This window comes from Homo sapiens, chromosome 10, assembly GCF_000001405.40.
Source record: "Homo sapiens chromosome 10, GRCh38.p14 Primary Assembly".
NCBI classification, from domain to species: Eukaryota; Metazoa; Chordata; class Mammalia; order Primates; family Hominidae; genus Homo; species Homo sapiens.
In genome coordinates, this window is record NC_000010.11 from 129,787,990 (window position 1) to 129,801,307 (window position 13,318).

Consider the following 13,318-nt stretch of genomic DNA (forward strand, 5'->3'; position numbering starts at 1 on the left):
CAAGGCGGAGGGCAGGCCATCAGATCAGCAGGAAGTTGATCTGGTTTTGAATTGGGTTGTGTGTGCACTGGAGTCAAACATTATTTTACAGAATATATTTCATATATATTTTACACATATTTGCTTTTTTGTTTCAGATATTTCACAAGTTTTTAAAAATGTAAGCAGGTCATGAGGCCGCTGTCCAGGACAGCAGCATGCCCGTTTCTGGTGATACTTGGTGCAGAGGGTAACTCCAGCAGCTGTGCGTGCTGACCCCTCCAGCCAGCTCTGGGCAAGGGGTTGTTTCCTCCCAGCTCAGTGGCTGAGCAGAGCTCCAGCTGGCGAAGGACCCAGGCTCTGCCAACATTGTGGACATCCCCTCCACAGGCCCTGGGGTGCCCTGTGCAGAGGCAGAGGGTGACCGGGAGCAGTGGGCAGAGCCCGGACCCTCCTATCCCGGGAGGAGCCTCAGGTCCTCTTTGGCAAAGAGCAGGATCCGGTAGCTTGAGAAGCTGTGCAGCTGCCGCTGGGTGCACCCTGTCACTCAGCAAGGCAGCTGCTCCGGAACAGGCACTGCTTCTAGAATCCACTTCCTTCTCGCAGGACCAGATGTGTCAGCAGGTGACAAGAACAAGTCCAACGCCACCTCACAAGGGCTTTGGCTTTGGGATCCCCTACCTGCAGGGCCTGGGTTTTGGAGAATAAGGCTTGGCCCCAAGAGTATTCAGATCTGCAGCAGAGCAAGATGGGATGCAACATATCTAGATAGATAACCTCACCCCAATCACAGGCTTCGTGCATGGACCCGGTGCAAAGGGCAAAGGTTATGAAGTATCACTTACCCAATGCCCCAAAGAGCCCTTCAGGCCTGGGAGGAAATTCTCAGGAGAGCCTGTGGAAGAAGGGGTTCAGTGGAGGGACGCTGCTGCCTGGGAAGGAGCCTCCAGCCCTTCCAAAGGCCACACTTTCAGCAAACTTCACATTAAAAGACCCGCCAGTGCCTGATGGTTACTGAGACTGGTGTTTGCTAGACCCTTTCTCAAAAATGAGTCAAGGCAGGGCACAGTGGCTCATACCTGTAATCCCAGCAGTTTGGGAGGCCAAGGCAGGCAGATCACCTGAGGTCAGAGCTCGAGACCAGCCTGGCCAACATGGTGAAACCCTGTCTCTACTAAAAATACAAAAATTAGCCGGGCGTGGTGGTGTATGCCTGTAATCCCAGCTACTCGGGAGGCTGAGGCAGGAGAATCTCTTGAACCTGGGAGGCGGAGGTTGTGGTGAGCCGAGATTGCACCACTGCACTCCAGTGAGACTCTGTCTAAAAAAAAAAAAAAAAAAAAAAACTCATGCCCACTTTTCTTACTAATTTATTTTGCTATGGAAAAATACAGTTTTTAAAATTATATATGCTGCTTGTTAATAGTGTTTTATTATTTTTAATACTTTTTATTTCTCAGTTTCATTTTCTAGTATGCTATCAACAGATGGAAACCACATATCTATTATTGACCACCTCAATATTTATGAGTATAAAGGTGAAGAGAGCACACGTTCTAAAAAGGGCAGTGGGGGACATTCATGCTTAAGAATTTCCTACCAGAGTTACATCCAAAGAAAATGATGTTACCCAAAAGAAATAATCAGCAGAGTAACAGATAACCCGCAGAATGGGAGAAAATATTTTCAAGTTACGCATCTGGATACAAAGGACTACTATCCAGAATCTACGAGGAACTCTAACAAATCACCAAGAAAGAAAACAATCTAATTAAAAAGTGGGCAAAGGACACGAATAGACATTTCTCAAAAGAAGATACACAAATGGCCAAAAAACTATGAAAAAATGCTCAGCGTCACTAGTCATCAGGGAAATGCACATTAAAACCACGAGATACCACCTAACCCCGCAAGTATGGGCATTATTAAAGTTTAAAAAACAAAAGCTGTTGGTGTGGGTGGGGAAAGGGAATGCTTCTACACTGCTGGTGGGAAGGTCAATTAGTACAACCACTATGGAAAACAGTATGGAGATTCCCTACAGAACTAAAAGCAGATCTACCATTCGATCCAGCAATCCCACTCCTGGGTATCAACCCAAAGGAAAAGAAGTCATTATATGAAAAAGACACTTGCACACATATGTTTATAGCAGTGCAATTCACAATTGCAAAGATGTGGAACCAACCTAAGTGCCCATCAACCAATAAGTGGATAAGGAAAATGTGGTGTCTATACACCATGGAATACTACTGAGCCGTTAAAAGGAATGAAATAATGTATTTTGCAGCAACTTGGGTGGAGCTGGAAGCCATTATTCTAAGTGAAGTAACCCAGGAGTGAAAACTAAAAACCATACATTCTCGCTTATAAGTGGGAGCTAAGCTATGAATCCACAAAGGCATACAGAGTGATACGGACTTTAGAGACTCAGAAGCGGGAGGGTGGGAAGCAGGCTAGGGATGAAAAAAAAAAAAAGAAAAAACTACACATTAGGTACAACGGACACCACTCGGGTGATGGGTGCAATAAAATCTCAGAATTCACCGCTCTGTAATTCATCCATGAAACCAAAAACCACTTGTACCCCAAAAGCTATTGAAATTCAAAACTTAAATAAATGATGCCACATCGTTAGCCACGGGAGCTTATTTCTCAACTACAGTGAAATGCCACAAGCCTCCCCTTCTCCCGAGTCTCCCTTCTGTGATGTGGCATTTGAGACAGCATCCCAGGGCAGTGGTGGTGCCCAACTTATTACTAAGCTGCATTATTTGGTAAGTCAGAGATGGATCGCTTCTAAACAAGCTTACCCTTTTCCATAAAGATTAAAACACCACCACCAAAAAAGAACGAGATTTTTTTGAAGAAACAAACCCAGGCTGCAGGCCGAGGGAGCTGTCAGCATCGTTCATCCTCATGTTCGCTGGGCTGGGGGGAGGAACTGGCAGCTGTTCGCCAGTGATTCAGTTTTCTTCGTTGTGTGTTTCGTAAGTGGTTTTTAACCAGGCGCCCTTAAAATGTATTATTGTTAGAAAATAAACCAAGAAAGAAGGGATGGTAATTTAGTACTAGGAAGTTAATTCTGGAGGCCTCCAACCTTTCAGCAGTCATGTGGCTATTGATTTTCAATACCATGAGGTGGCGGCCACCCTAGGCGTGGGGTTCAGTGGATTCCAAACAGTTTCTCCCTTATCAGTTGAGTCCCTGAGTACTTGAGCATTAAGACAACAAATGTCCGGAGTTAACGGCGTGTCACATGGCAGCTGGGTGGACGTGCCAATTTTCTAATGAAGTTGGGTTGTTGGCAAACACACCAGTCATCATATATTGAAGGAGGTCTTCTTTTGTGTATTTCCAGCACTCTTGAGTGCTTCGAAAGATACCAGTTACATCATTGTCTGAGGGCCAGGCACCAAGGGAGAAACATCCGTCCCCTGCCAAGACAAACACAAGCAAAAGCAGAGTTAAAACCAAAATGGGGCTGGGTTTTCTTGGAGGTGTTGGAAATGTTTTTTCCAGTTGTGCTTAATGGGGGGATATTCGGAAGGAAAGCAGGGGCTCCTAAGTCCTCGTTTCTCTGCAACAAGAGGCACCAGGGTCTTTCCTTGCTCCCAACTTAGCTTGCACTCTGTGCGGGAGAATCAGCCTCATTTTTCTTCACATTGAAGAAAAACAGTCAATGCATTTTGGGTCCAAACCACTGTGTAGTGGAGGGATGACACAGGCTCTCAGATAAGCTGACCGCATCTATACCTCAGCAGACTCTGGGAGATCCTCACCATCTCTGCCCTCTTCCTCCACTCCCCACCAATAATAAATTAGGGCTGCCATCTTGTATTGATTACTGAAAATGTTATGTCCATGGGAAGAAAATGCCATTTCTTTAAATATCAACATTACAAGAGATTTAAATGCTTTGTTTTCTTTTGTTTTACAGAAATGTGTGTGTGAAAAAATTTTAAGCAATTGAAAGGAGCCGGGGTGTGGTGGGAAGAATTATTAAATAATAAAAAAAAAATCAATCCTCAGTTTGGCCTGGCCAGACGAGTGTTTCTCGGCTCAGGTAAGTAGTTTAAAGTCAGACATGTCTCATACTGGACTTTTTACAGGAATGGCAAAACTTATAATGAAATTCAACAAGGAAACTGGAAAAACAGCCAAATTGGTGCAGCAAAGTGGTTAATAGGATCATTAGCCTACTCGCTGTATTTTTTTGGACATTGTGTGCCTGTACTGCCGCACTCGAGAGCAGATTGCAGGAACAGGCTGACAGTTAGGAGCTAGCTCAGCAGTGCTGGGTACAAACTGCCATCTTCCTGTGGATTTACAGCTGCCACTTCTGCTACTTCAATTAGTTCTATGGCACACAGATGTTGCTTAAATGTTGCTGCTAATGATACTGCAATAAGCGTAAGATTCATGCCATATTTTGAGGCACGTAAATTTCTCAAGTGGCACAATTAAAGTGGAAATATTAGGTGGTGAGAACTTGGCAGTCTCTCCAACTTGGAAGGCGCACCCGCTATGCAATAATGGGTCAAAAATTCATTCAAGTTTTACTGCTGTTCCGAGTTTTAAAAGACTTTTCACAGTTGAATGCAAAGTAGTAAAAACCAGGGTATTAGGAAATGAGAATGCAGTTCTGTTATTCAGACATGACTTTTAATTTCAAATTGAAATCACATGCTCACTTTTCTGGATATGACCGAAGGGAAAAGGTACAGGCTGAAGAGATTTTGTCTTTAAGGGTAAAAGTCCCGAGTGGAAATGAATTTATTGCTGGGCCAGCCTCAAAATCAGCACTGTCCATGACTGAGGAAGTGTGGCGATCGCCTCCCACCCAGAGAAGCAGCCGCATTTGTACTGGAAGCCAAGTTCATCAGCAGCTCTCTCTCTATCCACCCCCGGACAGGGTCTCAAACCAGGGACTGGAGAAGTGTGTTGGGACAGGCACACACATGCACACATGTGCACACACTGTGTGTCCCACCAACACAACGCATGCACATTCACACACACACACTTGGTCTCTGCCTCATACACACATGCACACACACTTGGTCTCAGCCTGTTACACATTCACGCACACACGCTCCATCTCTCCCTCCTACACGTGCACACTCGCACATGCATGCACGGTCTCTGCCTCTTACACAGGTAGAGAAGAAAAAGACAAGTGGGCTTCCAGGAGTCTCACTTCTGCCTGCACGGAGTCTCCATTAGTATTTCTCTCCCTCATTTATCATCCCGGGCACAGTCCCCTGCCTGTCGCCAAATTTTCTTTTCCATGAAAAATCTCTCCTTCGGAGAAGAGCTTCTCCCTGACTGGTTGTCAAATACGCTTTTGATTTTCTCACACACCGACTTAAAAGGCAGGCGGTTCAGGGCAAAGCCGGCACCCAGTAGGCCTTTCTGCTTCTCGAATCTTTGACTGTGCAGGTTGTTCCCCCACCCCCACCCCATTTTAACTTATTGATTTGAACTGTCAAGTAAATGACTCCGTTGCACTTAATCAGAATCATAGACTTCTGCCATCCCAATTAGAATTCGAGGCCATGCACCGGAGCTCCACATGTGTGGCTCTGCTGGAGGGCTGGGCACAGCCCCTGCACCTAGGGCTCTCTGGTGCGATGGTTTGCAGGATAAATCCTGCCCTGGGAGCAAAGGCCATCTGCAGTAGGCATGCAAGCCGATGCTGTCCTGTAGGTATTTGCCAAATATTTATTTTTCCCTGAAATGATGCAAACGATTTGGTGAAGCCTTCCCATGACCAATTCAGGATGCGGAATGATTTAGCATTCAGTAAATTTCACAACACCTTTCTGCCTCCCTCTTCCCTCTCCCCTCTCCCCTTCTCCCCACCTCACCCCACCTCACCCCCTCCCTCTTCCTTCCTCTTTTCCTTCCCTCCTCCTTTCTTTTTTACCCTCTCCTGCCCCTGACCCGGTACCTATACCACTTGGATTATTTACAGCAAATCTTACAGATGTCAGTATTGTCTTGTTCTGAAGCTAAAAAGGACAATGAGTTCCCGCTGACCTCGGTACAATGGATCTCGCTGGAGCACAATATGTATTTTATACAGGCAGTGAAAAGCCTACAAGTAATTGAGAGAGAGAGAAATGTCACTGTAGCATTTCTGTTGACACTGCACTCTGCGTGTGGAGGGAAGCCCGGGGCCTGGCGGCAGAGGAGCAGCCGCAGCCGCGCTGTGCACCCAGGAACCTGTCCTTCAGGAAGGAGGCGGCGGTAGAAATTAATCTGCTCAGATTTTCCAACTAATGAAGTATTCCCAGGACCGAAGGGGCCACACAGAGACGTCTGCGGCGCTGCTTCCCATTCGCGCAGATGCACACGGATTCCGGGCCCAGCGCTAACTCGGATGTGTTTTCCAGCTCCGTTTATTGTCTTCCATAATGCTTAACGTACTGTTTGTATATGTTGTCCTTGCACTATATTTTGATATGCTCTCATATATTTTATTCATCTCTGGCTTTCTACGAAGGCAAGCTCGCAGCAACACTGAGAATAATTATTCTCCGCCATCAATCAAGAGTCTCCGTGGTTGGCTCCTCATGGGATGGCCTTGATTTTAAGCATGAAATGTAACTCTTGCTCTTTGGGGCCATTTCATTCTTTGTTCCTGGGGCCTGCCTGTGGGCTCGTCGGGACACTAGAGAGCAGGCATTCCCGTGGCCGCGGGAGAGCCGCGTTCCTGGCTGGCCATTCCCGGGCCCTCTAGAAGGGAGCGGCTGAGAGCTCTTTAGCCCTACTTGGGGTTTAAAAGTGAAAAAGGAGCAGCTCTTCCTGGTGGAAATTGCGAGCAGAGGCTGCGTGAGTTCCGTAACTCGCACACAGCCTCCATTTGGAGCCAGAATGAGCACGTGAGGGACCCCGGGCAGAGGGGCCAGTGCTGACATTATGCTCCATGCAACCTCCCATCCTGTTGTGGGAGATGGTGCAGACCAGGGGAGGGAGTCAGTGTGTGAGGGGATGAGGCTCCAGTCCTTTCCTGGGCACCAAAGCCAAATCCCCCCTGAGCACAAGGATCTTCCCTGGGTGACTGCAGAAGCAAGGAGACCTGGCCCACCGTCCCTGCTGGCTTCCTACTGCCCAGCCGCGTCTCTGCCTCCCTACCCCAAAGCCTGCAGCTCCTAAGTGCACTATTTGGGCTGTCTTGTTTGCAGCGGATGTTTGAAAGACAGACCCTCTTCTCTAGTGCTGGCCTTGAGTCCTCAGAGAGCTGCTGTTTCCTGGGTTTCTAGCTCCATGGAGGCAGAAAGAGACCCCAGGGTGGCCTTTGGAGGAAGATGAGCCCCCTGGGTTAACCGAGCTTCTGCAGTGGTGCTCCTGGGTCATCACTGTTGCCACTGGTCAGAGCCAGAGTGTGTCTGCCTGTGCTCTCCTGAACACAGTGGAGCTATTTCCAAGTTCAGGTGAAGGGGACATGGAGGTTAAGCAAGGCCAGAAAGACAGAGACGTCCTCTTCCCCTGGTAGCAGGTATTTAGCAGATGGGAAAATATTAGCAGATGGGAAATCAGCAGATACACTCAGCTCAAGATGCAAATTTAAAAGCCGCCAGCCCCTGTACTAAATATTTACACTGAACATCTCTACTCCATCATCCGTCTTTTATTTTTGTGAGCCCGTACAACTGCTCTTATTACAAAGTCATGTAAAAGTTGAGGAAAGAAAATTTCACCCTTGGAAACAAATTCATGATGAATTAAATTTCAGCATGAAAATAGAAAAAAAAAATTCAAATTTCTGTTGACTTTTGGGCTTATGTCCTGAAAGAGTTAACATACATTCTTCCATACATAACTTATTCACGTAAATTAAATGGTACACCCCCAAAACTTGTTTCCCTAAGCTGATATTGAAACTTCCATTATTGAACAGTTTTTAAAAATGCAATTCTAATCCCTTTTTAAGTTTCAATACCAAAAAAAAAAAAAAAAAAAACACTCCTGAGCCTCCAAAAGCCACCCTCTTCACAGACCACAAGGGCCAGATCTGCCACGTGGTTTTTGTGGACAGATTCTTTCTCTCCACATTAAAATCCTAACTGCCACGTCACACCCGCATAGAACCTCAGTAACACCTTGACGTGTTTTCTCGCTTAGTCCTCCAGAGGCCTGTGAGGCCAGGCCTGTTACATCCACTTTACAACAGGGAGACTGAGGCTGGGATATAAAACTCACCAAGGCCCATAGATGCTTGTCATCAGAAGGGCTTGAATCCGGCTTTTTTTGACTCCAAGTCTCTCGTGCTGTCAGCCGTATCCAGGGATTGAACTGGATACTTTCAAAGGGACTCTCAATCTATAAAATTCAACAATTGCCATTTTATACGCCAGTGGATTCATTTATTCCTCCAACAAGCATTTGCAAGCCTGCCATGGGCCAGGCACTGTTCTGGGGTCTGGGGATATAACCATGAAGTCCCTGCCCCAGTGGGGTTTACATTCTAGTGGAGAAGATAATGAAGAAGAAAGTCCGTAATAACATTTCACATCATGGCTCTGCTATGAAGAGAGCACAGGCAGTGGGGTTTAGGTCAGACTGGGAAGTGCCTCGTAATCTACTATCTTGCAAGTTTTAAGATGGGATCAAATTTAGAAACAGAAGGCCGATAGCAGATGACAAAATCTGCCCTTCTTCAAAGGTGCCCTTCATCCCCAGAATGAATGGCCCCTGCCTGCGTGGACTTGGTCACCCCAATTCAAACTCAGCGTACTCAGTGCCATTGCCCTGGTGATTTTTTTCACACTCAAAAATTGGACGAGAGCACAAGGCTTGCCCACATTGTCACCACAGAAAGACGCTACGCTGGTGCATGAGGAAGTTACCCAAGTTACAGGCCCTGATTAATTTCACTCTGTTACTTATATTAGAGTGTGGTTACCTTAGCAACTGCAGAGTGGGTTGCTGTGGTGTCTGCATTCGACAGCCTGAGCTTTGAAAGCCCGCAGGGTGGGATGTCGGAAGGGCAGGCACATCTGGCCCAGAAGATAGTGGTGATCCCTCGGGCCGTCTTCAGCTCGCCAGGGTCCTTAGTTGGTTCAACTGTCCGTCACGGTGTCCTGCTGCTCCTGCTCACCTCTCCCATGCAGCTGGCTGCATTGTACCTCACCTCCAGCACCACTCTGCCTCCACACCTGCCCTCCCAGTCCTGCCAGGGCAGGGCCTCCTCCCTTTTGTCTTCCTGCTGGGCTCCAGGCTCCTGAGAAGCAAAGCAGTGTCTCCCTTGGTCACTGCCCCCAGGCGCCAGCCAACGGCCAGCACTGCACAGGCATGGCAGGCCCTTGATAGGCAGCGATGCTAAATGGGGTAGCTCTGTTTGTTCCAATCACCTTTAAAATGCTGTTTTATAGACAGTATTTGATAGGCTTATTTCAGCTGATTTCTAGACCTAATTTTTAAAAGCAATTATTAATCTATTTCCCAATGACTTTGATTGTAACTTGAAAACCAAAATCTAATAAGAAACATTTTGAGAAGACAGTGAAGTTCAAGGTCAGGCATCATAAATGGAGAAGTGAGGAGCCCTAAACCACTGGCCGTGCCTCGTCAGCTCTGAGCTCCTCATTCCCACCTTTCCTCCTCGTTCAGCTTTATCCTTCTCTTCCTTCCATCAGACCAGAACAGTTTTCCCAATGGCAAAAACATATTTTCATTCTAATAACACTGAGACATGACTGCCCTTTCTCCTTTCTGTCTGTATCTACATTTAAGTTACACGTAGTTACATTTGAATAAAACAGATTTGAAAGATTATGTCATAAACCTGGTACCAAAACCTAACCAAGATATTGAGAAAAAAGATATGTCAATATTTTTATGTACAGAAATGAAAAAAATATTTTACAAAATATTAGCAAAGGAAATCAAATCAAGCAATGAACAAGTGGGTTTATCCCAGGAATGCAAGGTTTGTTTAGGGTCTGGAAATCAGTCAATGTAATTTGACACATTAACAGAATAATAAAGGAGAAAAAAACAATCATCTCAGTAGATGTAGAAAAAATATTTGATGAAATTCAACACTCCTTTATTATAATTTCTCAGCAAACTGTAAATGGGAACTATCCTAATCTGATAAAAGTCACCTATGAAAAGTCCACAGATAGTATACTTAATGGTGAAACATTGCCGTGCTTTTCCTCTGAGATGGGGGCACAGCCAGTGTGCCTGCTCTCCTCACTTCCGTTTAACATTGTACCTGACATGCCAGGCTGCGCAATGAAACAAGTAAACCAAAATTCATAATGTTGGGGAAAGGAAAAAGTAAAACTGCTACTATTTGCAGATGACTTGATTGTTTACATAAAAATGTGAATGAATCAACAAGGGAAAAACTAAGTATATTTAGCCAGGTCATTGGATATAATACCAATATGCAAAAACCAACGGCATTTCTATTTACTGTCAACAAACAACTGGAAATATAGAAAATTTTAAAGCAACACTGTTTATAATAGCATAAAAACCAAAATGCTTAGCAAGGGATGTAATACATGATGTGTAAGACCTCTGTACTGAGACCCACAAAACCTTCCTTAGAGAAGTTGAAGAAAACACAAATGGAGAGATAAACAATGTTCATGGATTGGAAAGTCAATCTTATTAAGTGGTCATTTCTTCCCCAAATTAACCTAAAATTTCAAAGCAGTTCCAGTCACAATCCCAGCAGGCTTTTATAGGTACTGACAAAAAAATTAAAAGCCGCCTCTGAAAATGCGAAGAACTGAGAGGAGTGAAGCAAGCTTGGAAAAGAACAAATTCAGAATACCTTGGCAAACCGTATTTATAATAACCAAAAATGAGAAACAACTGAACGGCACCCAACAGAAGAATGGATAAACAATCTTGTTATGTTCATACGATGGAATACTACTCAACTAAAAAGAAATGAGCTATGTATGTATGCAACAACATAGATGAATTTCATAGGCGTTATGCTGAGTGAAAGAAGCTAAACACAGAGGTACAAACGCTTTTCACTTCATCGCATTTCATTTATGTGATGTTCTGGAAGATGCCTAGCTGATCCATGATGAAACAAAATTCAGAAGGTTAGTCGCCCAGGGTGGAGTGAGGTGGATTGAACTAGGAAGAATCGTGAAGGAACTTCCTGGGGTGATGGAAAATTGATGCTCGATGGGTATATAGGTTAAATGAATGTATCATTTGTCAAACATATACAATTAAGATTTGTGCATTTCAAAGCATGTAAACATTTTGAAAGAAGTAGTAATGGGGGCAGGAAGCATAAATGAAGCAGGGTTGGCAAAATGTTGATGGTGTGGAAGCCGGATTAAAAGTGTCTGAGGCTCATTATACTATTCTGTTTATTTTCTATATGCTGGCAATCCTCCATGGTAAAAGATTGCTTTTTAATTTAGCACATAAAAAAGGAAATAATGCAACATAAAACATTTTAATCAGATCTCACTTTAAGTTAAAAACTTGAAAAAATGCGTTTTGCCAAAAGTATTTAATTTTCAAAGTCAGCTTCCTGTGTGGTCAGTATCTTTGGGCTTTTGTCCTTGGGGTGTCCCTCGGTTGGTGAAGGGCAGCATTGCGTCTGCTTCCTTTGTAAGGAATCTCTGAACTGAGATGGTGTCGGGAAATGATTTGGGGATAGACGTGCTGGTTCTTTACAACCATTGTTACTTGACGTCTTTCCAGTATTTGTTAAAGGGCGTGGCAAACACTAGTGCCGCACGTGTCACCAATGGTCACCAGCTCCAGAAGGCAAGTAAGATGTGAGCAAATTCCATGAACACCAGATGGCTTCAAGGGGCTTCCAGGTAATTTGAAGGAAAAAAAGTTTAAGGACAGAAGATGATGCTGAAAAAATAAAATCAGCTCTAAAGTAAGTATATCTTTCAGTTCCCCATCCCAAAAATAGATGATAGGCAAGAAAAATGGGATAAATGTTGACTGTGTTGAACACCACTGCAGGGATGCTGTTAACAACAGCAGTTATAGACTATCAAGTTTGAGGCTCATTGCTGTCCCCACCTGCTATGCCACACATTATCCCCCTTTGCATTGTCAGTCACTGCCTGTGAGCCATGTGGATGTGGTCAGTCTTGAGGAGCCCCCACGGCCCTGCACGATGCAGTGGGCTTGGTGGAGAATGCCCCCCAGAGCTGCCTGCAGCCCCACGGCTGCTCCAGGCCCAGCCTCTGCTCAGCAGGTTTCTGACTTCAGTAAATGGTTTCATATCCTCCCTCTTTTATGTAGTTGGTGAATTTAAAATGGGCACCATATGGTCTTTTTTGTAACCTCAAGAAAGGTTCTCTGGGTTTACAGTAATGACACATCTAGCATTAGATTGAACCATTTTTACTTTTATTTTTAACTAAACAGGCCTTCCTTTGGAATTTTTGCATATACAATGCTATTTCCAGAATTGAACCCTAACATTAGTACAATTCCATAGGGCAAAGGTATCCTGACAGTGTGGCATTATAGCAATAGTAATTTTTTATATTATTGGCAATAATATTTTATGTAAAAGTTTTAACATTTACAAAATGCTAGTATATCTATTATCCAAATATATCATTTTGATGTCATTAATGAATTAACTAGTGATACATTGTGTGCTTTGTAGATCAAATAACCCCTCTTAAATATCAGTTTATGGAGGGAAACCATGAAGAACCACCAGGAAAATTAGAGTGCTTGAAAGACATTTGGACAGGCCAGCTTCTGCCATCCAAGGCCAGCCTGTGTTTGTGGGCATGTGAGAGGCCCCCTGATGAAACTTGGGATAGGAAGCAGCTCTGACCCCTTAACCTCAAGCAGGCAGGGGGAGAGACCCAGACGAGGACTTAGGCTGCAGGGGTGCTCTGAGCACGACTGCCAAATGCCAGGCAGCAAAGCAGGCTTCACAGATCGTGCCTCTTTAGAAACCACCTATCAAGCCCCATGGGAGCAGAAACCTGCCCTGAGCGGCACTGATCTCTGTGTCCCACCTGGGTGTGGAGTTGCCTGGGTATGTGGTACTCAGGAGGCCTTTAGGCGGCCGCAGCTGCAGACTGGACAGACAGCTTTGTCCACGGCGGGCTTCTCTTCACCTGCCTCAGCTCCACAAGGGCAGACAAGCCAACTGGATGGAGTCCCTGGGGCTGGGACCTGCAGCCCAGCTGGGAAGCAGACTTGCCAACAGCTGATACCAGCACGCTGGGCTTGTGTGGTCTCCAGCATGTGCAATAACCAGGACAGAGAAAATTCAGTTCATACTCACGTGGGTGAGACGCAGCTCACCGCTAAGACTGATGCCCAAGCAGACAGGCCACACAAGTTAGTTCAGCTTCAG

The 13,318-nt window shown here is 45.1% G+C and overlaps 1 long non-coding RNA gene across 2 annotated transcripts in view; it reads left to right on the forward strand.

Annotated features, from left to right (window-relative positions):
* Window positions 1-13,318, forward strand: part of LOC107984281 (uncharacterized) — a 67,711-nt gene that overhangs the window by 20,374 nt on the left and 34,019 nt on the right. The window contains exons 3-4 of one of the 2 annotated variants that reach the window (NR_186705.1): window positions 3,920-4,045; window positions 11,677-11,863. This is a non-coding gene — a long non-coding RNA (uncharacterized LOC107984281). The remainder of the gene's footprint in view (window positions 1-3,919; window positions 4,046-11,676; window positions 11,864-13,318) is intronic. The other variant, NR_186702.1, reaches the window with a different exon arrangement.